Consider the following 26683-nt stretch of genomic DNA (forward strand, 5'->3'; position numbering starts at 1 on the left):
CAGAAAAATTAGCTGGGTGTGGTGGCACTGTGCCTGTAGTCCCAGCTGCTCGGGAGGCTGAGGTGGGAGGATCATCTGAACCCAGGGAATTTAAAGCTGCAGTGAGCCACGATTGTCTGCCATGACAGAGTGAGACCCTGTCTCAAAAAACAAAACAAAACCCCAAAAAACAAAACTAAACTTACTCTTACAATATGATCCAGCAATCATGCTTCTTGGTATCTACCCAAAGGAGTTGCGAACATGTCCACACAAAAACCTGTACACAGATGTTTGTAGGAGCTTTATTGATAATTGCCCAAACACAGAAACAACCAGAATGCCCTTTAGTTGGGGAATGAATAAACACTGTTACAGCCTGACAATGGAATATTATTCAGCACTAAAAAGAAATGAACTCTCAAGACAAGACATGGAGAAAGCTTAAATGCATATTACTATAAGGAAAGAAGCCAATCTGAAAAGGCTAGCCACTCCAAGATTCCCATTATATGCCATTCTGGAAAAGTCAAAACCATGCAGTCAGTGGAAAGATCAGCGGTTGCCAGGTGTTGTCGGAAGAAAGGGATGAACAGGAGCACTAAGGATTTTCAGGGCAGTCAAACTATTCCGCGTGATACTATAATGGTGGATCCATGTCATTATATATTTGCCAAAACCCACAGAATAAAACACCAAGAGTGAACCCTAATGCAAACTCTGAATTTTGGGTGATAATGATGTGTCAATGTAGGTTCACTGATCATAACAAAGGTACCACTTTGGTATGGGATGTTGACAGTGGAGGATGCTGTGCATGTGTGACAGTAGGGGTACATACGGGAACTCTATTTTCTGCTCAATTTTGCTGTGAACCTGAAAGTGTTCTAAAAACTAAAGTCTATTTTAAAAAATCCACTGTTTCACCTAATTCAACACTTCACTCCCACTCTGATAATCTCTGGCAACCAATGATCTGTTTACTGTCTGTATTTAAATTTAATTAAAACAATTTTTAAACTGTTTTGATATTTTTATAATAATCAATATATTTTGATTGGACTTTTATAGTGAGCACTTTCTTTGGAAATGAGTGTCTTTGACCTTCAAAAAAGTTATAGTTGTTATCAGTTATCATAAGAGGTGGGGCCCACCTCTTAAAGTAGCAATAAAATCTTATTTATGGTTGAAAAAGGTCAGGTCATTGCGCCACTTCTCTTTGCAGGTTTCTGTGCAATCCATCAGGGGACAGCTGGGACTAATCATTTAAAAAACTTTCCAGCCTGCTAATTTTACCATACCTCACATTTTTGTCATTCCTGGCCAAAATCCAAAGGGCAAGTCCCTTCTGCAGCCTCATTTTTTTTTTTTCTGTACTTTCGCTCCCCTGACGCAAGCTTCCACTGTCTCCCATCCTAACTTTACCACTACGCCCTCTAGAATGCCTTTTCCTGATAAGCAAAACCCCCCGAGTCGTTGGCTCCTCCACTTTCCGGTTTTGGCAGAATCCTTGATCTGAGCCAGGCCTCTTCCCAGGGGCTCTGGCCCTCTTCACTTCCTTTTCCCCGGAGGACTCTGGCTCCCGGGTAGCAAGCAGCCCACTTCCCCGGCCGCTTCCTTCCCCCGGGATGACACGTTTCTACAGGCGGACTCTTCTAATTCATACTATTTCCCTACCCCCGTGGTGGCTCCTAGCACCCCCAGGCCTGTTCTACCTGTAAAATCTTGACACATTTAAACTACTACTTCTGATCCTTTCCTCCCCGTCCAGCCTTCGCTCTTAGGCTGCCGAGCCTGGACTGCTTGTCATCCCCTCAGGCGTCTCCCCGGCCCTCCCTGCTCTTCAGCCGTCCCGACGGAGCGCGGCTCCTGACCAAACCCACGGTTCGTCTTCTCCACCTGCTCCGCGCGCCTCGCATGTGTCTGGGGGGAAACACATCCAAACGTCGACTTAAATGATTCAGGGCCGAGGACCGTGAGAGGCAGTCTTCACTTTTTCATCTTTCTTCATTTGCACAGTATACCAATAAGCTCTTACTACTTCTCAGCACAGGTAACTCGCCTTTTGCAGAGCACCCTCCGCCGCCGAACGGTCAGAGCCTGGAGGAACCCGCACCAGGATCGTAGGGCATGACGGGCCGGGGGCGGGACGAGGATTGACGAGCCGGGAACAGGGCGGGGCTTGAGGGGGCGGGAGGGTGGGGCGAGGCATGACGGCTCTGGTGGGAGGGTAGGCGGGGCTTGACGGGCCTGGGGGCGGGGCGGGGCTTGAGGGACCGGAAGGTGGGGCGAGTCATGACGGGCCGGGGCGTGGGCAGGGCTTGAGGGGCCAGGGGACTGTGTGGGGCCTGACGGGCCGGTGGGTGGGGCGGGGCTTGAAGGACCGGAGGGTGTGTGGGCGGGGCTTGATAGGCAGGGGCGGTGCGGGGGCGTGGGCAGCACAAGCCGTGCGCTCCCGGGCTGCGAGGTCTGGCTAGGCTACGGGCCACGCGCCGCCGCCGCTGCCGCCGCCACTGTCCTCTTCGGAGGCGCGGGCCCGACGGAAACCATGTTTGTGGCTCGCAGCATCGCGGCGGACCACAAGGATCTCATCCACGATGTCTCTTTCGACTTCCACGGGCGGCGGATGGCAACCTGCTCCAGCGATCAGAGCGTTAAGGTGCGCGCGGCGCTTGCGGGCGGGGCCGACCCCGGAAGGAAGGAAGGGGAGTGGGTGGGCGGCGCGGGGAACGGGGCTGTGTCTTGGTTCAGTGACGCCGCTGGAAGCTGTGGGGTGGCGGGCGAGCCCTGGCTGGACTGAGCGGAAGCCCTCCCCGCCCGCGTATTGTGGGGTCACGGCGGCCTCGCGGGCCGCCCTCCCGTGCGCCTGCGCAGCTGGTGCCACGTGCGCGCTCCCGCCCGCAGGGTACGCCGGGCCCTCTCCCAGGCCGCGCTGCCGGGGCTGCGGGCGGGAACCCAGGGGCATCCCACCGTCAGCCTCGGCGTCGTGGGTCTTGCCCGCGCTGTTCACCCGACGACCTGCAGTGGGACCTGGTGGGAGACTTTGCCTGGCTGGCGCTGCGTCGAGTTCTGTGCCCCGCCGGTGTTCTCTCACCAGGGCACATGGTTTTCTCCGTGGGTTCAGAGCAGAAGCTCACTTTGTTACGCCGAGGAAGAAAAATACAAACCATTTACATCCAATGATTTCCCTGCTTGCTGCCCAGGAATCGGAGGGTTTGTTTCTTGAAGTTCCCGTAAACGTCTGTAGACACTTCCGACAAGCAGAATTTCTTTTCTTTTTTTTTTTTTTTTTTTGAGACCGAGTCTCACTCTGTCACCCAGGCTGGAGTGCAATGGCACGATCTCGGCTCACTGCAACGTCCGCCTCCCGCTTTCAGGCGATTATCCTGCCCCAGCCTCCCAAGTAGCAGGGATTACAGGTGCACGCCACCACCCCCGGCTAATCTTTTTTTTTTTTTGTATTTTTTAGTAGAGACAGAGTTTCACCATGTGGGCCAGGCTGGTCTCGAACTCCTGACCTCGTGATCCACCCGCCTCGGCGCCTCGGCCTCCCAAAGTGCTGGGATTACAGGCGTGAGCCACCGCGCCCGGCCTACAAGCAGAATTTCTAATGTGGGGATGCTACATGAGATTTAGGAACCTCCCAGATGTGTTGCAGGATGAATGAAAGCTGGAGTGCGGATTATTTGGTTCTCGACAACTCCAGAGTAACTGGAAATCTGAAGGATAGTTTATCCTTTTTCACATTCGAGTTTGATACCAGTGATCTCTCAAAGATAAACTTTTTATAAATAGTGTTGCAATTTTTAAAAGATGTAGTTTCTTTTTTAAAACAAGTTTATTTTTGTTGTAATAAACTACGTTAACCGTTTTTTTTTTTTTTTTTTTTTTTTTTTTGAGACGGAGTCTTGCTCTGTCACCCAGGCTGGAGTGGGGTGGCGCAATCTTGGCTCACTGCAAGCTCCGCCTCCCGGGTTCACGCCATTCTCCTGCCTCAGCCTCCCAAGTAGCTGGGACTACAGGCGCCCGCCACCACGCCCGGCTAATTTTTTGTATTTTTTAGTAGAGACAGGGTTTCACCATGTTAGCCAGGATGGTCTCTATCTCCTGACCTCGTGATCCGCCCACCTCGGCCTCCCAAAGTGCTAGGATTACGGGCGTGAGCCACCGCGCCCGGCCCACGTTAACCGTTTTAAAGTGTAGAATTCAGTGGCATAGAGCACAGCATTCACATTTTTGTGCAGCGTCGCCCCTGCCCATCTCCAGAACCTTTTCATCATCCTAAACTGAAACTCTGTACCCAAGAGCACCCTGTTCCGCCACCCCATCCTCTGGTAACCTCTATTCTACTGCTTTCTATTAATTTGCATATTCTAGGTACCTCAGATAAATAGAATCATAGAATATTCGCCCTTTTATATTTGGTTTATTTCACTTAGTATAATTTTTTTTTTCTTTTTTCTTTTTCCTTTTTTTTTGAGGCAGAGTCTGGCTCTGTCACCCAGGCTGGAGTGCAGTGGTGCGATCTTGGCTTGTTGCAGCCTCAACATCCCAGGTTCAAGCCATCCTCCCACCTTAGCCTCTCCAGTAGCTGGGACTACGAGTGCACGCCACCACGCCTGGCCAATTAAAACATTTTTTTTGTAGAGGCAGGGTCTTGCTGCGTTGCCCAGGCTAGTCTCGAACTCCTGAGCTCAAGTGATCCTCTCACCTCAGCCTCCCAGAGTGCTGGGATTACAGGTGTGAGTCACCTTGCCCAGCCCTCTTAGGTCCATTTATTCCAGAGTACTTTTTTTTTAAAGGAGGAGCCATGTATTTATTTGTATATATTTTTAATTGAGCAAGTAATATATTTTTCTTTTTAGAAAGTGAAAAAATTATAGACTTATTGCTAATGTGTTAATATTTATTGATTTCCTCTGTTTTTCCTTTAACGTTTTAAGTTGTCATGGTAGAGTGTGTGTATATACGTATATGTCTTGTCAGAAATAGTGTTGTACTGAAATTTTTCATTAGTTTAGCATTTTATGTATTTTGAATGATTTTCTTAGGCTAATTCTAGAAGATAAATTAGTGGATATTTTAAACACTATTGAAGAGAATTGACAAATTGCTATTTTGCAGGTCGTACCGTTTTATACCGCCAGTGATAGTATTGATTTGATAGTGTTATTGCCCTCGTTACATTTTTAACAGGTGAAATTGGCACCTTCTTATTGTAATCTATATTTTTTCTGGGTAATAAGGTTTAATTTTTTTGTTTTGAGATGGAGTCTTGCCATGTTGCCCAGGCTGGAGTGCAGTGGCTATTCACGGGCGTGATCATAGCCTTAAACTCCTGGGCTCAAGTAATCCCTCCTGCCTCAGCCTCTTGAGTAGCTGGGACTACAGGTGTGCACCACCATGCCTGGTTTCAATATTTTTGCTTTACCATTTGTTACATGTACAGTTGAGCCTGTTGTTTGTAGATTCTGTATTTTTTGAATTTGTCTACTCTGAAATTTACTTGTACCCCAAAAGTCACACTGGTTTTGCAGTCATTTGTGCATGTGTGAGGAGTGGTGAAAAAGTTTGAGTCTCAGGACAGACGTTTCCCATTGAGGTGAAACCAGGCGATACTCTATTTTGGCTCATACTGTAAGCAGGTGTTTTTCATGATTTATTTAGTGCAATGATTATTTGTTCTTTCTGTTGGTGATTTTGCTGTTTAAAATGGCCTCCAAGCGTAGTGACTGTAACTAATTGTCTCTGTTACCTAATAGAGCTCAGCTTCCTGAATCCCTTGGTGCTTGGCCCAGTGCTTGACACATTCAAGGTTCTCAATGTAAATTTTTTGAGACGGAGTCTTGCTTTGTCTCCCAGGCTGGAGTGCAGTGGCGTGATGTCAGCTCACTGCGACCTCCGCCTCTGGGGTTCAAACGATTGTCTTGCCTCAGCCTCCCTAGTAGCTGGGACTATAGGCATGCGGCACCATGCCTGGCTAATTTTTGTATTTTTAGTAGAGACGGGGTTTCACCACGTTGTCTAGGCTGGTCTCGAACTCCTGACCTCAGGTGATCCGTTTGCCTTGGCCTCCCAAAGTGCTGGGATTACAGGCATGAGCCATCGCACCCAGCCTCTCAATAAATACTTAATTGAATGAATGAATGTTTACTTGCTGATTGTGTTCTTTTGTTAACTATATGTTCACCGCTTTCCTTGTACACTGATTCAGTCTTATAGTTTTTGTATCAATTTGTAGGAATTTTTGTATAAAATATCTGCCTTTTATTTTCTTATAGGTCTGGGATAAAAGTGAAAGTGGTGATTGGCATTGTACTGCTAGCTGGAAGGTTAGTATTTATTTTTACATTTATTAAAAATACAGAAATATTTACTGTTTATTTTATAGTTATCTATGAATTGTTTTGAGAAAATAACATTTATACAGTAGTTCTTTTCCTGGGAAGACATTTTACTGTTTTTCGCTATTAAAGTAACAACTGTGTTTCTCAGAATTTGAGAGTAAGAAAATCTGTAATTCTGTAGCATTCTAACATAATTATCTTAGTAATTCAGAATATTCCTTTTGCCTTTACATATTTTAATTGTTGTGATGTTTCATACATAGTTTTCTCTTAAAAAAAAAAAACAAAACCTTTACTCAAGTAGAAATTTTCTTTTTTTTTTTTTTTTGAGACGGAGAGTCTTGCTCTCTTGCCCAGGTGGGAGTGCAGTGGCGTGATCTTGGCTCACTGCAACCTCCGCCTGTTGGGTTCAAGTGATTCTTCTGCCTCAGCCTCCCAAGTAGCTGGGACTGTAGGCGTGCACCACGATGCCCGGCTAATTTTTGTGTTTTTAGCAGAGATGGGGTTTCGCCATGTTGGCCAGGCTGGTCTCAAACTCCTGACCTCAGGTGATCCTCCCTCGGCCTCCCAAAGTGCTGGGTTTATAGGCATGAGCCACTGTGCCCGGCCAAGTAGAAATTTTCATACCTTAAAAGTCATCCATTTTAAATGTACAGTTCAGTGAGTTTTAGTAAACTTACATAGTTGTGTAGTCATCACTGTAATCCAGTTTTAGAACTTTTCTCTCAAACTCAGAAATTCCTTTGTATCCTATTCCCACTCCAAGCCCCAGGCAACCACTGATCCATTTTCTGTCTCCATAGGTTTCTTCTCTCCTCTGCCCTCCCTCTCCCCTCCCCTCCCACCCTCTCTTCTCTTCTTTTCTTTTTTTTTTTTTTTGAGCTGGCGTCTTGCTCTGTCGCCCAGGCTGGAGTGCAGTGGTGCGATGTTGGCTCGTTGCAACCTCTGCCTCCTGGGTTCAAGCGATTCTCCTGCCTCAGCCTCCTGAGTAGCTGGGATTACAGGCGCATGCCACCACACCCGGCTAATTTTTGTAGTTTTGGTAGAGACAGGGTTTCACTATGTTGACCAGGCTGGTCTCGAACTCCTGACCTCAAGTGATCCGCCCGCCTTGGCCTTCCAAAGTGCTGGGATTACAGGCTTGAGCCACCATGCCTGGCCTGGTTTATCCTTTCTAGAAATTTCATAGAAATGGAATTTTGAAATACATAGTCCTTTGTGTCTGGCCACTTTCCCTTTGCATGTTTTGAGGTTCATCCATATTGTGTCATGTGTCAATTTGTTCCTTTGATACTGAGTAGTCCGTTGTATGTATATTGCCACGTTTTGTTTGTCTGTTCACCAGTTGACGGACATTTGAGTTGTTGTTTTTGGCTGTTATGAGTAATGTTAAGAACGTGCCATGTAAGTCTGTGTAGACATATATTTTCATTTCTTTTGGATAGATGCGTAGGAGTGGAATTGATGGGCTATATGCACTTAGCTTTCTAAGAAACTGCGAAACTCTTCCAAAGTGGCTGTGCCCACCAGCCATGTGTGAGGTTCCAGTTTCTCTACATCCTCACCTACACTCGATAATATCTGTCTTTTTTATTATAGCCATTTTAGTAGTTGAGAAGTGACCACAAAAATCATTGGATTTTGATTTGTATTTCCTTAATACCTCATGTTGATTATTTTTTCATATGCTTATTTACCATTCATGTATCTTCTTTTGTGAAAGGTCTATCCAAGGTCCCCCCCCCTTTTAAGGTGAGGTTAACTTATAAAATTAATAATTTCAGAGTAAACAATTAATTGGCATTTACTTCATTTACAGTGTTGTGTAACTACCACCTTTTTCTAGTTCTAAAACATTTTTATTATTCCAAAAGGAAACCCCATCTCTTGCTTTTAAGCCTAATATATTTCATATGTACTTTTCTATATCTTTAAAGGCTTTTTATTAACAGCCAATAAATATACCATTTTGCTTAACTAGTGGATATTTCAGTTTCCATTTTATTGTGATGAGCATCTTTGTGCAAACCTTATTCTTTAGATTGCATTTTACTGTAAATCTAATAAAACTTATCTGCCTTAGTGTGCATTTTTAATTTTATAGCCCTGTATAAGTAAGAATTAAAGATGATACAGAAAAGACTGGACAAAACAAGGTTAAAAAAAAAGGGTGCAAAATGTACCTTTAGTTGGTGACATTGTTACCATGTAGAAGTTATTGGTTAAACTATTTTTATGTTGTTGAATGTAAAAAATGTTAGCTATACAGTGTGAAACACATTTTCTGAATGTTATTTGTTATTATACAGTATTTTCCCTGAGAAGCACCTAGCAAATTCTTTTGATGGTGAAATTCTTTAAGACCTTTGTATCCCTTCTCCAGCCACCTCCCCTCCCACCCCTTGGCCAACAGGAGGGGTGTAAGGATTTGGGCTTCCCCATATTTGCTCTTCCTACAATAGTCTGTTATCGATAGACTGTATTGTCAGTTAAAATCATTTAAGCATTCTATGGCTATAATCTCTATATATTGTTAGACTTTTGAAGCAAATAATTTTTTTTTGGAGACAAGTTCTTGCTCTGTCACCCAGGCTGGAGTGCAGTGGCACAATCTTGGCTTACTGCAGCCTCAACCTTCCAGGCTGAAGTGATCCTCCCACCTCAGCCTCCCAAGCAGCTGGGACCGTAAGTGCATACCACCACACCTGACTAATTTTTTGTATTTTTTGTAGTGATGGCATTTTGCCATATTGCCCAGACTGGTCTTGAACCCCTGGGCTCAAGCAGTCTGCCCACCTCAGCCCCCTAAAGGGCTGAGAAGACAGGCGTGAGCCACTATGCCTGGTTGAATCAAATGAAAAAAAAGTATTTTTTTGATTGAGCTATAATTTACATATCATAATGTGCACCCATTTAAAGTGTACAATTTAGTGATTTTAAGTATATTCATTTAATTGGCAACCACCACCACTTCTAATTTCAGAACATTGTTTACCACCTCTAAAGGAAACCCTGTGCTCATTTAGCAGTCACTTCTTGTTTACTCTGCTCCCAGCCGCTGGTAACCACTAATCTACTTTCTGTCTGTATGGATTTTGGAGCAAATAAATCTAATGTTATTTATTTTATTAGGTGGGTATTTTCTGTAGAAAGAATTTGCAAGTAAAATGGTGGACTTACAGAATCTTTGTTTCAAAGGTTGGTTACGCTAAACTCTGAAGCAACTCTCCAACTATCAGCACTGGAAGTAGTCAAGTTTATCTGGCTAGATTTTTCTTTTATTAGTAAAATGTCAGAAGAACTGGACTTCAGAAGCATTACAATCCTAAATATAGAATGTCTTCTAAAGGTTAAAACATTCTGGAATTTAACTTTTTATTTACATGTTATGTTGATCAGTTTTCTTCTCTCATAGAAGTAAAACTATATTCTGTTTCCTGATGTAAAACCAGTGTTTATGAAATATGAATAAGTATTTAGGAAAAAAGAAGCCCTGGGATAATGAGTATCTGTTCTTTTCTTTTTTTTTTTTGATTCCCCAGACACATAGTGGATCTGTATGGCGTGTGACATGGGCCCATCCTGAATTTGGGCAGGTTTTGGCTTCCTGTTCTTTTGACCGAACAGCTGCTGTATGGGAAGAAATAGTAGGAGAATCAAATGATAAACTGCGAGGACAGAGCCACTGGGTGAGACATTTATTAGTATTCTGGGGACCGGGAAGACATGAGCAGCCAAGGAGCATTCATCCGAAGGCTACCTCAGATAATTGGTAAAATATCACCACTCCCCTCTAGTTTTACCAGTTCTAAAGTTCTTTCTTCCATGTTTTTTTCTTCCTTTTTTATTTCATTTTAACTTGGGTCTGAAGCAATACTTAGGAGCATCACTGCATTGTTTATAACTTTTATGATGAATCCAGAATATTTGCATTGTATTTGATTTTACCTATTAGTATATTTTATGATAGTAATATATGATTTTAAAGTATTCTGGCTCACTGCAGTCTCAAACTCCTGGCCCCACCTCAGCCTCCTGAGTTGCTGAGATTATAGGCATGAGCCACTGTGCCTAACTCTAAAATTCTTTTTTTTTTTTAACTTTAAACTCTTAAGGGTTAATAAAATTCTTTTTTTTTTTTTTAGACGGAGTCTCACTGTGTCACCCAGGCTGGAGTGCAGTGGCACAATCTTGGCTCACTGCAAGCTCCGCCTCCCGGGTTCACGCCATTCTCCTACCTCAGCCTCCTGAGTAGCTGGGACTACAGGCGCCCGCCACCACGCCCATCTAATTTTTTGCATTTTTAGTAGAGACGGGGTTTCACTGTGCTAGCCAGGATGGTCTCGATCTCCTGACCTCGTGATCTGCCTGTCGGCCTCCCAAAGTGCTGGGATTACAGGCGTGAGCCACCACGCCTGGCCAAGGGTTAATAAAATTCTTTAAATTTTATTTAAATTTAAATAAATTTAATGGGCCAAATTCAGGATGGGCCCATGTCACACGCCATACAGATCCACTGTGTGTCTGGGGAATCAAAAAAAAAAAAAGAAAAGAACAGATACTCATTATCCCAGGGCTTCTTTTTTCCTAAATACTTATTCATATTTCATAAACACTGGTTTTACATCAGGAAACAGAATATAGTTTTACTTCTATGAGAGAAGAAAACTGATCAACATAACATGTAAATAAAAAGTTAAATTCCAGAATGTTTTAACCTTTAGAAGACATTCTATATTTAGGATTGTAATGCTTCTGAAGTCCAGTTCTTCTGACATTTTACTAATAAAAGAAAAATCTAGCCAGATAAACTTGACTACTTCCAGTGCTGATAGTTGGAGAGTTGCTTCAGAGTTTAGCGTAACCAACCTTTGAAACAAAGATTCTGTAAGTCCACCATTTTACTTGCAAATTCTTTCTACAGAAAATACCCACCTAATAAAATAAATAACATGGCTAACATGGTGAAACCCTGTCTCTACTAAAAATACAAAAAATTAGCCCGGCATGGTGGTGGGTGCCTGTAAGTCCCAGCTACTCTGGAGGCTGAGGCAGGAGAATGGTGTGAACCCGGGAGGCGGAGCTTGCAGTGAGCCGAGATCACGCCACTGCACTCCAGCCTGGGCGACGGAGCGAGACTTGTCTCAAAAAAAAAAAAAATTCTATAAAAATTGTTTCTTTTGTTTTGTGGTTACTTTTGTTTTCTTAGGAAATATACTGTCCTCGGCCGGGTGCGGTGGCTCACGCCTATAATCCCAGCACTTTAGGAGGCCAAAATGGACAGATCACCTGAGGTCAGGAGTTTGAGACCAGCCTGACCAACATGGAGAAACTCCCCCTCTACTAAAAATACAAAAATTAGCTGAGCATGGTGGCACATGCCTGTAATCCCAGCTACTCAGGAGGCTGAGGCAGGAGAATCGCTTGAACCCGGGAGGCGGAGGTTGTGATGAGCAGAGATCGTGCCATTGCACTCCAGCCTGGGGAACAAGAGCGAGACTTCGTCTCAAAAAAAAAAAAATACACTCTCCTTTATCTACATCTGCTTTTATCGCTGTCTTTGCCTTATTGGATGTTTGAATTTGGGCAAGAACATAATATAATCTGTGTGCTGTTGAAGTTCCTCATCTATAAAGTGAAAACATTGAACTAGATTATATTTAAGACTCTTTCCAGCATTTTCATATGAAGGTATTATCATCTGCATGCTTTTTTTCCCCCTTTATGATTTGTTTTTTGTAATAGATAATCATGCACATGGTGTAAAATTCAAAAGAAACAAAAGGAAGTGTGTAGTGGGAGTGTCCTGCTATTACCCCTCACCTGCCCTCCCTAATGGCATGATACTACGTTAGAGCCAGTCACAGCTCATTGCAGTCTCAACCTCCTGGGCTCAAGTGATCCTCCCACCTTAGCCCCACAAGTAGCTGGGATCACAGGCATGCACCACAGGCTGATTTTTTTATTTTGTAGAGATGGGGTTTCACCATGTTGCCCAGGCTGGTCTTGAACTCCTGGACTGAAGCAATCCTCTCACCTCGGCCTCCCAAAGTGCTGTGATTATAGGCGTGAGCCACTACGAGGGCCATGATGCAATTTTTTATTGTGGTAAAATATGTATAACATAATATTCCTCATTTTAACTTTTTTTTTTTTTTTTTTTTTTTTTTTTTTTTTTTTTGAGACAGAGTCTTGTTCTGTCACCCAGGCTGGAGTGCAGTGGTGGGATCTCGGCTTACTGCATTCTCCGCCTCCGGGGTTCAAGCGATTTTCCTGCCTCAGTCTCCTGAGTAGCTGGGACTACAGGCATGTGCCACCATGCCTGGCTAATTTTTTTGTGTTTTTAGAAGAGACAGGGTTTCACCATGTTGGTCAGGCTGGTCACGAACTCCTGATCTCAAATGATTCTCCTGCCTTGGCCTCCTGAAGTGCTGGGATTACAGGCGTGAGCCACCATGCCTGGCCCATTTTAACTATTTGTAAATGGTATAATTCAGTAGAATTAATTACGTTCACAGTGCTGTGTACCCATCACTGTTATCTGTACTCAAAACTGTTCATCACTGCCAACATAAACTCCATATTTTTAAAGAATGCCTCCCCCTTCCTCCTCCCTCTACCCCCTATTCAACTGTCTGTCTATAAATTTGACTAGGTACTGCATGTAAGTGGAATCACAGTATTTGTCCATTTGCAACTGGCTTATTTCACTAAGTAAAATGTTTTCATGGTCTGTCCATTTTGTAGCATATATTAACTTTATTCCTTTTTATGGCTGAGTAATATTCCATTGTGTGTGTATACCACATTTTGTTTATCCATTCATTTGTAGATGGACCCTTGGGTTGTTTCTACTTCGTGGCTATTGTGAATACTGCTACTATGAGCATTGTTGTACAGATAAATGTTTGAGACCGTGCTTTCGATTCTTTTGGAAATATACCTAGGAGTAGAATTGCTGGCTCATATGGTAGTTCTATGTTTCACGTTTTTAGGAACTGTCAGACTTTTCCATAGCAGCTACACCATTTTACATTCCTACCAGCAATGCTCAAGGGTTCCAGTTTTTCCAAATCTTCATCAGCACTTGTTGTGGTGCTATTTATTGTAGCCATCCTAGTGACTGTGTTGTGAAGTGGCATCTCCATTGTGGTTCTGATTTGCATTTCTCTAATAATTACTGATGTTGACCTTATTTTCATGTGCTTATTGGTCAATTGTATGTCTTCCTGGGGAAAATACTATTCATATCCTTTGCCCATTTTTTTAAATTGGGTTTTTTGTTGTTATAGGAGTTCTTTATATATTCTGGATATTAATCCCTTATCTGTTATAGGTTGAGTATTCCTTATCCATAATGCTAGGATCCAGAAATGTTTTGGATTTTGGATTTTGGATTTTGCAATATTTGCATTTATACTTACCAGTTAAGCATTCGCCTACTTATTTATTTACTTAATAGAGTTGCCCAGGCTGGTCTTGAACTCCTGGGTTCAAGCGATCCTCCACCTTGGCCCCCCAGAGTGCTGGGATTACAGGTGTGAGCCACCGTGGCCAGCCCCAGTTAAGCATTCTAAATCCAAAAACTTGAAATTCGGTATGCTTCAATAAGCATTTTCTTTGAGCATCATGCCAGTGCTCAAAAAGTTTTGGAGTTTGGAGCATTTCAGATTTCAGATTTTTGGATTTGATATGCACAACCTGTAAATGATTTGCAAATATTTTCTCCCGTTCTGTGGGTTGCCTTTTTCACTCTTGATGGTTTCCTTTGATGCACGAAATTTTAAAATTTTGAAGTCTAGTTTATCTAAATTTTTTTCTTTTGTTTCCCATGCTTTTGGTGTTATATCCAGGAAAGCATTGCCAAATCCAGTGTCATGAAGACTTTCCCCAATGTTTTCTTCTAAGATTGTTATAGAATCCTCAATTCAGGCTTGTATCCCCAATGTGGAGCTGAGAGCAAACACTGAGTCACCGGTACTTGGAGATAGAGAAAGGTTTATTCGATTTGGCTAAAGCAAGAAGATGGGAGGGCAAGATCTCTCGAATCCATCTAAACAAAAGGAAGCATTGGGTAGATTTTATGTGACTAGATCTAGTAAGGGAGGGGGAGTTTCACAGAATCCAGTGGAAAAGTCTGTGTTTCTTTGGTCTCAGGTAACGCCTTGAGCAACCAGATGTCTGGTTGTTAGCAGCTGGTCACAGTGTCCTTAAAGCCATTCATTTCTTCTGGCAACATTTTTCTTTACATGACGCTGAAGTTATCTTCTCTTGATTGACAAAGAAGCAGTACATCAACAGTTTATCATTATATTGTGGCAACAAGGGATATTCAGCAAAAAGTGAGTGGTTAACATGCGCAAGCAAGCAAGGGCCTGATACAAATTATTTATTTCAGTCATTAAAAAATGTTAGGGTGCTGAAATCTAGTTTTCCCAGCACCATTTCTTGAAAAGACCATTCTTTCCCCTGTTGAATGGTCTTGACACCTTTGTTGAAAATAATGGCTATATATATGGAGGATTGCATTCTGGGCTCTCTTGTGGACATTTATCTGTATGTCTCCTTGTCCTAATAGCACACTGTTTTAATTCCGGTAGCTTTGTAGCTTGAGTGGCTATTCAGACTGTTTTACAGCTCTTCTCAGGGGAGGAGTATGTCTGATTGCCTTTGCACTAGGGCTTCCCTAAGCCAAACAGCTGCTTATGGGGAGGAAGGAATAGAAATTTATAGAATTATAAAAGTTTTTTTGGCGTTAAGTCTGAGGTGTGTCAGTTCAGTATACTATAGATTGGATTTGGGAGTGGTGGCATAAGAAGGACTTTTCTTTGAATTTCAAGATACTTATTTGTATTTAGTTTAGTCATCTTTCATTAATATATTAGCAGTGGCAAATCCATATGGGTCTGCAGCAGCCTCATTTCTTGCCTCTTCAAAAGAAAGAATTCCACCTAGGGGCATAAGGCAGAGTAAGAGACTAAGATAAGTTTTAGAGCCAGAGTGGAAATTTGTTAAAAAATTTTACAGCAGAAATGAAGTAAAATACATTTGGAAGAGGGCCAAGTGGGTGACTTGAGAGAGTCAAATGCATGGTTTGATCTTGGACTTGGGTTGTTACACGTTGGCATGCTTCCCAGGGGTTGCGTCTCTTCTCTGATTCTTCCCTTGGGGTGGGCAGTCCGCATGTGCAGTGGCCCACTAGTGCCTGGGAGGGGCTGCGTGTGCAGTGTGTTTACTGGAGTTGCGCAGATGCTCACTTGAGGCGTTTTTCCCTTAACAGAATGTTCCTAGAAGGTCATAGATCAGTTAAGCTCCACCATTTTTCCTCTTAGTGCACATGCTTGAGCCCAGTCATCCAACTCCTCAGATCTTATCAGGAAGCTGCTGATCACCAGTTTCAGGTGTTTCTATCTGTTGGGAGACTACCTTTCCCTGGCACTGGCTGCAACCAATGATTAGTTTAGAGAGAAAGTTTAACAACTGCCTGATCATCACCTGATGGTTGCTTGACATTCCTGGTGGGGTGGGGTCCTCTGCTGCCCTGCTCATGTCTGACTACCTACTGTAACAAATGCATTTATTTTCTCAACATTTGTGTTTGTATTAATTATTCAGTGGTGTCTGTAGACAAAAGTTTGCTAAGATGTTATCTTTGAAGTTTATGTAATATTATCCTTTTAATGTTGAGACTCTTTAAGAAGGATTTTGGTAACCATAGACAGTAATCTGTTGATTGCTAAACTTTATTGACTTAGTTTTTTTTTGAGACAAAGTCTTGCACTGCCACCCAGCCTGGTGTGCAGTGGCATGATCTCGGCTCAGTGCAGCCTCCGCCGACCACACTCAAGCGATTCTCCTGCCTTAGCCTCTCTAGTAGCTGGGATTGCAGGCGCCCGCCACAATGTCTGGCTAATTTGAATATTTTTAGTAGAGATGGGGTTTCACCATGTTGGACAGGCTGGTCTTGAACTCCTGACCTCAAGTGATCACCCGCCTCAGTCTCCCAAAGTGCTGGGATTACAGGCGTGAGCTACTGCACCTGAGCTTATTGATGTTTTTAGTAAAGTTTCATCTTATCTGTGTGCCAGAAGATAACTTTTAAATGTGATGTTGGAATTTTACAGTGATCATAAAGCTTGCTTTCTACCATTCTTTTGGTCCCTGTTAAAAGCCTTCACTTAAAAGTGCATGGTAGCTGGGTGCAGTGGCTCACACCTGTAATCCTAGCAACTCGGGAGGCTGAGGTGGGAAGATCAGTTGAGGCCAGGAGTTTGAGACCCATCTGGGCAACATAGTGAGACCCCCCCATCTCTATAAAAATAAGAAAAATTAGCTGGGCATGGTGGCAGGTGCCTGTCATCCCAGCTACTGGGAAGGCTGAGGCAAAAGGATCACTTGAGCCATGATCATGGTACTGTACTCCAGCCTGGGTGACAGAGCAAGACCCTGTCCCTAAGAAAAAAAAAAAAATAATAATAATAGTGGTCCAAATGGGATTAACAGAAAATTATTCTTGAGAGAAGAAATTGCATGCCTTTCTTTTTTTTTTTTTTTTTTTTTTTTTTGAGAGAGGGTCTTACTCTGTCACCCAGGCTGGAGTGCAGTGGTGCGATCTTTGCTCACTGTACCTTCTGCCCCACTGGCTCAAGCGATCCACCCGCCTCAGCCTCCGGAATAGCTGGGGCCACAGGCGTGCACCACCACACCTGGCTTTTTTTTTTTTTTAGTTTTTAGTAGAGACGGTGTCTTGCCATGTAGCCCAGGCTGGTCTTGAACTCCTGAGCTCAAGCAGTCTGCCTGCCTCGGCTTCCCAAAGTTTTGGGATTACAGGTGTAAGCCATCACGCCCAACTCATTTACAGTTAAAGGGTCTAATGCTTGCAGCATGCTTTGTGTGACAAAACTTCTTGTCTGAAAATTCTAACATTTTCTTTTTTTTTTGTGATCAGTTTGCTTAAGAGAGATTACTTATATAACAAAGGTAGGCTTTTGGAGGTAGACTTTTTTTTCATTAAAGGGAGTAATTAATTATAGCTCACTAATTTGTTAGTGATTCCCAGCTATATATGTGGTATTTTGCCATGTACTTGTAGGAACTTGTGGCCCAGAGATGTATCCAAGCTTATATACCTAGTGAATGATAGAGGAGTTTCTGTGTGATTCCAGAGTCTGTGTGTCTTTTCCACTCTACCATGCTTTCTTTTTGTATATAATTTAAATTGTTATTATTTTTTTTTTAGGTTAAAAGGACAACTCTGGTGGATAGCAGAACATCTGTTACTGATGTGAAGTTTGCTCCCAAGCACATGGGTCTTATGTTAGCAACCTGTTCCGCAGATGGTATAGTAAGAATCTATGAGGCACCAGATGTTATGAATCTCAGCCAGTGGTCTTTGCAGCATGAGATCTCATGTAAGCTAAGCTGTAGTTGTATTTCTTGGAACCCTTCAAGGTAAGTTTACATATTAAACCTCTGATAACATCCTAGTAAAATAAACTAGTAACTTTTAAGCTAACAATTTGATAATTTATTCTCTCAAAGGTGCTTCTTCTCAAGATATATAGAGTATATGTTCTCCATTTTTCACCCAGGCATGTCATTTGTCCCTGTTTTCACTCAACAGAGGAAGCCGGCATTGTAAATATTTTCATGTGAACCTTTTGGATGTTTTCTATGCATATGCAAATAACTATTTAATGTTGTCATAAACACATATATGCAAACACGCCCAGATATTCACTAGCACAAGTAGACACAGAACACCAGATATTGAAACCCATACATTTGATTGATTGATTGATTGGTTGATTGAGACAGAGTATTGCTCATTTGCCCAGGCTGGAGTGCAGTGGCACCATCTTGGCTCACAGTAGCCTCCACCTCCTGAGTTCAAGCAATTCTCCTGCCTCAGCCTCCCAAGTAGCTAGAATTACAGGCATGCGCCACCACGTCTGCCTAATTTTTGCATTTTTAGTAGACATGGGGTTTTACCATGTTGGCCAGACTGGTCTTGAACTTCTAACCTCAGGTGATCTGCCTGCCTCGGCCTCCAAGAGTGCTGGGATGACAGGCGTGAGCTGCTGCACCCAGCCAGAAACCCTTACATTTTCCTTCCTTGCAATTAGCTTTTTTCACTTAAAGATACATTGTGGGCATTTTTCCATATATTAATATATCTAGTCTTACCTCATTTCTTTTTAACTGCTGCATAGAGCATGACTATATGAATATTACCATAGTTGCTTTTTATTAAACTGTTTTTAAACAATTATAAGAATCACTTGGTGAAGAAAAAAATTGAAATAATCCATAAGAATACAAAAAGAAAGGTAAAGTTCCTTTACCCCCTAAAAACAAATGCTGTCAATAGTTCTGTTTTCAGACTTTAATTCTGGTAGTCACTAGTATATTTTTAAAGGATTTACTTATACCTTTGGTTCTTGCTATGTTATCTTTTTTTTAAAAATTTTTATTCTGCTATTTTTCCACATGTTCTTGCTATGTTATCATTAAAGAATATCCAAACTGATAGAAAAGATGAATAGAGCACATTTATACAACTTCCACATCCCAAGGTATGACTAGATAGATATCTTATTTGTGGTGATGTTGATAGTTGTTGGAGTTATACTGGTAATTATTATAATTTCAAATAATATATATATCTCTACACATATTTATCAATTTTTAGACTATATATTTACTCCCGTCTCTTTTTTTTTTTTTTTTTTTTGAGATGGAGTCTTGCCCTATTGCCCAGGCTGGAGTGTGGTGGCATGATCTCGGCTCACTGCAAGCTCCGCCTCCTGGGTTCAAACGATTCTCCTGTGTCAGCCTCCCAAGTAGCTGGAATCACAGGTGCCCGCCACCACATCTGGCTAGTTTTTTTTGTATTTTTAGTAGAGACGGGGTTTGTCCATGTTAGCCAGGCTGGTCTTGAACTCCTGACCTCAGGTGATCTGCCCGCCTTGGCCTCCCAAAGTTCTAGGATTACAGGTGTGAGCCACTGTGCCTGGCTTCCCCTCTCTTAAAAAAGAGGGAATTAGTTTATTGCTTCCCCCTCACATTGCCCCTTCCATTTCCTCATTCTTTTTTTTTTTTTTTTTTTTTTGAGGTGGAGTCTCGCTCTGTCACCCAGGCTGGAGTGCAGTGGCGCAATCTAGGCTCACTGCAAGCTCCGCCTCCTGGTTCAAGCGATTCCCCTGCCTCAGCCACCTGAGTAGCTGGGACTACAGGTGCCTGCCACCACGCCTGGCTAATTTTTTGTATTTTTAGTAGAGACGGGGTTTCACCGTATTAGCCAGGATGGTCTCGATCTCCTGACCTTGTGATCCGCCCACCTCGGCCTCCCAAACTGCTGGGATTACAGGCATGAGCCACCTCGCCCAGTCCATTTCCTAATTCTTATATTGCTTGTATACTGGCAAGATTTATAATATTTACATTCTGTAAACATTTAACACATGTGTAAGTATTTTGTCTTTTGACTACAAATTGATTCTAAAAATTAAGTGGCAGCCAGCTTTACAATCTAGATTATGTAAGTATTCATTTGAGATGCCAATATGGAGATGGAATGGATGGCAAACTCTTCAAATACCTGAAAATGTCTTAATTTGACTCCATGCTTAATTGATAGTTTGGCTAGTTTTAGAGTTCCGAATGTAAGAATTTCAAAAGATACAGTTCTTGCATATTTTTAACTAGGTTTTATTAACGAGCTGTCGTCAGTCTGATGCTGGTTCTTTTGTAGGTAGCTTTTTCTTTTTGGAAGGTTTTAGGATTTTGCGTTATTATTCTGAGCTCTCTTGCACATATATTTTGACATTTTTTATGATGGATTTTGATAGCCAATGGAAATGAGTTTTAATGTAATCACATTTGTCAGGCTTTATTGTTGGAGTGCTTTTTGTGTTTTATTTGAGCAGTTTTTTCCACCTTGGGGTTGTCTAGTGTATTCATTAGAGAAAATTTCAGATACACCAGAAGTAACAGAAGTACAGTAGACAGACCCTTCCATACTCATCTCCCAGCTACAGTAACCCAAAGCTGCTGCTGTACTTTCCTCATTCCCCTTCTCCAGGAAAAACCCCAACCTGGATTATTATGTGTTGGCCTTTGTTGATTAATCTTACTTATCACTTACCATTTGTTTTTTATTTTTATTTTTATGGTTTTTTTTTTTTTTTGGAGACAGAGTCTTGCTCTGTCACCCAGGCTGGAGTGCAGTGGTGTGATCTTGGCTCACTGCAAGCTCCGCCTCCTGGGTTTAAGAGATTCTCCTGCCTCAGCCTCCTGAGTAGCTGAGATTACAGGCATGTGCCACCATGCCCGTCTAATTTTATATTTTTAGTAGAGATGGGGTTTCTCCATATTGGTCAGGCTGGTCTCGAACTCCTGAGCTCAGGTGATTTGCCGGCCTCGGCCTCCCAAAGTGTTGGGATTACAGGCGTGAGCCACCGCACCCAGCCACCATTTATTATTTATTATTTTTTATGTATTTGTTTTCGAGACACGTGTCACTATGTCACCCAGGCTGGAGTGCAGTGGCACTCCCTGGACCTCCCTGGGCTCAGGTGATCCTCCCACCACACACAGCCTCCCAAGTAACTGGGACTACAGGCATTCACCACCATGCCTTGCTAATTTTTTGTTATTTTTTGTGGATATGGGGTTTCGCCTTGTTGCCCAGAATGGTGTTGAACTCCTGGACTCAAGTAGTTTTCTTGGCTTGGCCTCCCAAAGTGCTGAGATTACAGGCATGAGCCACTGCACTTGGCCAATCCTGCTTGACACTCAGTGGTCCCTTTAAAAATAAATGTTATTGTCTCAAATTGGGGATATCTTATGATCCTTTGATAATTTCTTTTTATTCTCTTGTCTCTGTTCTGTCTTTCTGGCACTCCTATTTGATTATTCCAGGATTTACTCTCCATTTAAAACAAAATTGTTTGGAGATTTAGTACTCCATCTCCCAGATCTCCACTTTGTTCTCCAGGTATACATTTTTTCCCATCATTGAATTTTTGTATGAATGGCAATCATTTTTAATTGTTCAGAGTTTCTTTTTCTCTGATTACTTCTTTTTTATACCAGTTTTTGTTACATGTATTACACTATTTCCCTGTGGTTTCTAGTGAAGATTTTTTAAAATTTGCATTTGTTTGCTGAATTACAGTCAATTATCATTTGCACTGGCAATGTTCTATAAAGTTGCCATGAACACTGAATTAGCTAATACTGAATACCGAATTGCTCCTTGGGGAAATACAGGGTTTCCACAAGTCTCTCACTACATTTTTGTCAACTGATCAGTGTATAACCTTTTTGTGTGTCTTTCTTTTTAAAGACAACTTATATGTTGTTGATTGACTAACATTGAACTCATAGCCAACAACACAAACTACTCAGACCTGAATAAAGCATTTTGAATACACCTATTTTCTCCATAAGGCACATCCCAGCCTTCCTATGTTTAGGAACACCAGACAGCACTTCAGCAGCATCCACAGGGTTTTAAACTATGAAATCACTTTTAAAAAACACAAAAATGTGAAAAACGTGAGGCGAACTGACTAAACTGTGTAAAGGACATTCGTTTACCAATGACAGCCAAAGGAAGAAGGCACTTCTGCTGGGAAACTGCATCAGGCAACTGGATTTTTTTGCAGAGCTGCTCTGCACCTGCCGATGAATGACCATGAAAGCCTGGGCCGGGCACAGTGGCTCACGCCTGTTATCCCAGCACTTTGGGAGGCTGAGGCGGGCGGATCACTTGAAGTCAGGAGTTTGAGACTAGCCTGGCCAACACAGCGAAACACTGTTTCTACTAAAAATACAAAAATTAGATGGGCGTGGTGGTGTGCGCCTGTACTCCCAGCTACTCAGGAGGCTGAGGCAGGAGAATCGCTTGAACTTCGGAGATGAAGGTTGCAGTGAGCCAAGATGATGCCACTGCACTCCAGCCTGGGCAACAGAGCGAGACTGTCTCAAAAAAGAGAAAAAAAAGAAAAAAAAAAAGAAAGCCTGAGAGAATTGGGTTTTATGGTTACAAATAAATTTTAGGCCAGTTTACAAGTGCAGAATCTCTAAATAGTGAGGATTGGCTATATGTGTTTTCTCAAATATCAGTTCTTTTCGTGTGCCTTGGTCTTTATCTTCTGCGCCACTTGTTTTTCTTGGGTGTCTGCTGATCTTTGCTTATTTATATTTATGAGTGAGTGACTGTTACTGCTATTAGAGCAAACTGGTATTGGCATTTTTCTCCTGCTGGGTGCTCTGTTGTGTTAACAACTTACTCTCTCAACTAGGGAGGCTGACTGAATTTTGTGGAATGGGTGGAGTGGGTTGACAGGGTTTCCTAAGGATGTGTGAGCCAAGAGCAGGCTGGGGCACCCTCCAACTGACAAAGCAAGAAAGATTTTCCGTTGAGCACGATGAACCATTGGGGCGCAGTTCCTTCCTCCCTGCCCCTTTCCCTGTTGGTTTTGGAGTGCTCCTTTATTTCCAGCTCTTACCTTTTCTTTTTCAAGTTCTAATTGTCTCACTAAGACAATGTTTTTTGACCAAATCACTCCATGATTGTCCGTGACTCATTTATATTCTTTGCATTTATTAATTGGAGGTTGGACCTTCTGGAATTTTCTACTTACTGATGGTGATACGGACTCTTTTTTCCTTTGTATTTTCTTTCTCAGTCTGATCTGCTTCCTGACTTCCTGGAAACCCTCCAAATTTCTTGATTTCTAATGGCACTCTTTCTAGATTTCTAGCCCTGTACGATAATATTCTTTCATCATTTCAGTGGGCTTTTGGAGGGAGGCGGAGATCCAGGTGATCTGTCTACACTATTCAGTCAGAAAGCTGGATGGTTTTTCTCACTGTTTAGCTGTGACTCATACTTAGAAAGTGGTTTAAATGTGAATATCTTAGTTCTGGTTGTACAATTGAGGTAATCCTCAATTCAGGTTGCTGTCTGGACATTTCATGACTGGATTTAAAAATATTTTTAAGGCCAGGTGGGGTGGCTCACGTAATTCCAGCACTTTGAAAGGCTGAGGCGGGCAGATCACCTAAGGTCGGGAGTTCGAGACCAGTCTGACCAACATGGAGAAAACCCTTCTCTACTAAAAATACAAAATTAGCTGGGTTTGGTGGCACATGCCTGTAATGCTAGCTACTCAGGAGGCTGAGGCAGGAGAATCATTGAACCTGGGAGGTAGAGGTTGCGGTGAGCTGAAATCACGCCATTGCACTCCACCCTGGGCATCAAGAGCAAAACTCTGTACCCGCCCCCCCCCCCCCCCCCACCTCACCAAAAAGAAAAAACAACAAAGAATTTTTAAAATCTCACATTTTTTTAGCTGGGTGTGGTGGTGCACACCTGGAATCCCAGCTACTTGGGAGGAGGATTGCTTGAGCCCAGAAGTTCAAGTCCAGCCTGGGCAACATAGTGAGACTCCAGTCTCAATTAAAAAAAAAAATCTTGGCCAGGCATGGTTGTTTACGCCTGTAATCCCAGCACTTTGGGAGGCCGAGGTGGGCGGATCATGAGGTCAGGAGATCAAGACCATCCTGGCCAACATGGTGAAACCTCATCTTTACTAAAGATACAAAAATTAGCTGGGCGTGGTGGCGCGTGCCTGTAATCCCAGCCACTTGGGAGGCCGAGGCACGAGAATCGCTTGAATCCAGGAGATGGAGGTTGCAGTAAACCAAGATCATGCCACTGCACTCCAGCCTGGCGACAGAGTGAGACTCCATCTCAAAAAAAAAAAAAAAATCAAAACCAAGTATTTGTAGAACACTGAAAAAGGAAGTTTGTGGCCAGGTGTGGTGGTTCACGCCTGTAATCCCAGCTACTCAGGAGACTGAGACAGGAGAATCACTTGAACCCAGGAGGTGGAGGTTGCAGTGATCAGAGATCGCCACTGCACTCCAGCCTGGGTGACAGAGCAAGGCTCTGTCTCAAAAAAACAGGAAAAAAACGCAAAAGGAAGTTTGTGAGACACAGAAATTGCTGTGGAATTTACATCTATTTGAATGGCCAAAAATTATTATAAATAACTTATAATTTTATTTTATTACTGTAGCATTTTGTAGTTTGCCTGGTACTTTTCTTAATTAGATAATTTGATCTAATTACCTGAAGCTTTAGTAATAAAGAACTAATTTTTTTTGTCAGTTACCACATTTTGTTTTTAGCTTTAAGAGGTTAGTAGTGCACAATACTGAGGCTAAAGGTTAAGCAAGGGTGCCAGGTTTACAGAGATATTAATTAATCTGGATGAGGGAGGCAAAGGAAATTATGTTAATTAGGCATAGAAATTAAAAAGTCATTCAGCTTATAGTTCAGGAGAGCCATTCTTTCATTGCTCATCTTTTGCCTTTTTCAAAATGAGGTTGACCACAGATGAGTCTAGGGAGGGGAATGACGTGGGGATCGTGACTTCTGCAGGGGTAGTCTTTTCCACTTTTCCCCTGTCCATCTGTTTTTTCTTCTTCTTTTCTTTTTTTCTGAAAGAGACTCTCACTCTGTTGCCCAGGCTAGAGTGCAGTGGCACGATCATAGCTCACTGCAGCCTCCAACTCCTGGGCGCAAGTGATCCTCCTGCCTCAGCTCCTGAGTAGCTGAGACAAACGGCACATGCCACCACACCAGGCTAATTAAACAAATTTTTTTTTTGTAGAGATAGAGTCTTATTATGTGGCCCAGGTTCTTCTTGAACTCCTGGCCTCAAATGATCCTCTCTCCTGAGTCTCTCAAAATGCTGGGATTACAGGCATGAGCCACCCTGCCGCAGTGTTTCTTCTTTTTGTCAAAGCACTTAAGATCTTTTTGTCATGAAGTTAGTCACAGTAGGGTTACTTTTTGTTTCATAGTTAATGACCAAAAATTTCAGGAGGAAAAATTACTAAGACCTCTTAAGTATCTTTTAAAAATATGTTGAATGCTTGAAAGCTTTTTTCAGGCAAAGAGCTCCTTTCTATCTGAGCCATAAGAATATGCTAAAAACAGTTCATAAGGATGGAATCTTCAGTTCCCATGTGTGACATTCTCAGGTGCATACTTGCAGTGTGGCCATGTCAGCTATGTGGCAGAGACCTAGATTCACTAGTAGTGTGACAGGCTAACTGTAAGCTGGTTGTCTGCTTGCCTCCAGTGTGTTCATTCTGTGAATGAAATGTGTATTTCTTTTGTTATCTAAAATGTTCTTTCTCCCCGTTTCTAGCTCTCGTGCTCATTCCCCCATGATCGCCGTAGGAAGTGATGACAGTAGCCCCAACGCAATGGCCAAGGTTCAGATTTTTGAATATAATGAAAACACCAGGTCAGTCCTGCTTTGGTTTTAATAATTGTTCAGAATTGCATTTAATTTTTTAAAATGTTATTTCTTTATTCATTTACAGAATTATGTGTCATTCATCATATGTTTGCTGATTTACTATAATATACCAAGTTCTGTGCTAGGCTGTGATAGCACAGGCATGAGTGATAAAGAGGAGAAAGTAGACCAGCCTGGCCAATATGGTGAAACCCCGTCTCTACTAAAAGTACAAAAAATTAGCTGGGTGTGGTGGCAGGTGCCTGTAATCCCAGCTACTCGGGAGGCTGAGGCAGGAGAATCGCTTGAACCCAGGAGGCGGAGGTTGCAGTGAGCTGAGATTGCGCTATTGCACTCCAGGCTGGGCAACAAGAGCGAAACCCTGCCTCAAAAAAAAAAAGAGGAGAAGGTAATTGATCTCCCAGTATGATGTACCATCTTGCAGTGAAACAAAAAATAATAGTAAAAAAGGGTGATGAATCTTATGAAGTGGAAGAATTAGGGTGCTAAAGAGCTTATACCTGGGGAACCTAATCTGGTTTAGGGGCTAGGAAGGTTCACCTAGAAGATGACCTATAGGGTGAGTAGAAGTTAGCCAGACAAAGAGGGCAGAAGCACTCCTGGTGGAGAAAACTGCATGTGGTAAGGCCGTGAGCAAGAGAGAGGGAGTATATTTATACTGTTGTTGGAACATGCTGGGCAAAAATGAGTGTGGAGAGAAATAGGCAAGACTTGTATCTATAAGAAGTAATGTCCATTGTTTCAGTTTTATCTTACAGGTGATGTGAATAGGGAATAATGGGATCAGATGGATCTTCTATAGGTGTGACAAGTGTTTTGGAGGGAAACATGGTGGATTCACGGCTAGGATGCTATGAAGACAGTCCAGGTGGGAGAGTACGTGGCTTTGGGATAGTAGTAGCAGTGGCATGGAGATAAGTGGACAACTTGAGAATAATTGAGAAGTGGTATCAATAGGATCTGGTGATTGATTGGATTTGAGAACTGAACTGAGGAAGAAGGGGGAAGGTG

At 42.6% G+C, this 26683-nt stretch overlaps 1 protein-coding gene across 9 annotated transcripts in view, besides 5 other annotated features; it reads left to right on the forward strand.

The window, feature by feature from the left end:
* Positions 2115 to 2564: a silencer, noted in NCBI's record as "silent region_9323". NCBI's record gives its function as "represses an Ori minimal core promoter by ATAC-STARR-seq in GM12878 lymphoblastoid cells {active_cell/tissue: GM12878}" and the evidence as "EXISTENCE:reporter gene assay evidence [ECO:0000049][PMID:35858748]".
* The window catches only part of SEH1L (SEH1 like nucleoporin), a 39526-nt gene continuing 15259 nt past the window's right edge, over positions 2417 to 26683 (forward strand). For 3 of the 9 annotated variants that reach the window (XR_007066232.1, XM_011525744.2, XM_011525742.4), the window contains exons 1-6: positions 2417 to 2638; positions 6261 to 6311; positions 9869 to 10015; positions 17566 to 17777; positions 18842 to 18901; positions 25559 to 25657. Coding sequence is in view for 7 of the 9 variants with exons in the window: in XM_011525744.2 (XP_011524046.1) it covers positions 2528 to 2638; positions 6261 to 6311; positions 9869 to 10015; positions 17566 to 17777; positions 18842 to 18901; positions 25559 to 25657 (680 nt within the window). In the remaining 2 variants the exon portion in view is untranslated. The remainder of the gene's footprint in view (positions 2639 to 6260; positions 6312 to 9868; positions 10016 to 17565; positions 17778 to 18841; positions 18902 to 25558; positions 25658 to 26683) is intronic. The other 6 variants (XR_007066233.1, NM_031216.4, NM_001013437.2 and 3 more) reach the window with 3 other exon arrangements.
* Positions 2605 to 2954: a silencer, noted in NCBI's record as "silent region_9324". NCBI's record gives its function as "represses an Ori minimal core promoter by ATAC-STARR-seq in GM12878 lymphoblastoid cells {active_cell/tissue: GM12878}" and the evidence as "EXISTENCE:reporter gene assay evidence [ECO:0000049][PMID:35858748]".
* Positions 2965 to 3064: a silencer, noted in NCBI's record as "silent region_9325". NCBI's record gives its function as "represses an Ori minimal core promoter by ATAC-STARR-seq in GM12878 lymphoblastoid cells {active_cell/tissue: GM12878}" and the evidence as "EXISTENCE:reporter gene assay evidence [ECO:0000049][PMID:35858748]".
* Positions 2965 to 3597: a biological region, named in NCBI's record as "H3K27ac hESC enhancer GRCh37_chr18:12948589-12949190".
* Positions 2996 to 3597: an enhancer, noted in NCBI's record as "H3K27ac hESC enhancer chr18:12948589-12949190 (GRCh37/hg19 assembly coordinates)". NCBI's record gives its function as "activates a minimal SCP1, AML or CMV promoter by ChIP-STARR-seq in naive H9 embryonic stem cells {active_cell/tissue: H9 hESC(naive)}" and the evidence as "EXISTENCE:reporter gene assay evidence [ECO:0000049][PMID:30033119]".

This window comes from Homo sapiens, chromosome 18 (genome assembly GCF_000001405.40).
Source record: "Homo sapiens chromosome 18, GRCh38.p14 Primary Assembly".
NCBI lineage: Eukaryota > Metazoa > Chordata > Mammalia > Primates > Hominidae > Homo > Homo sapiens.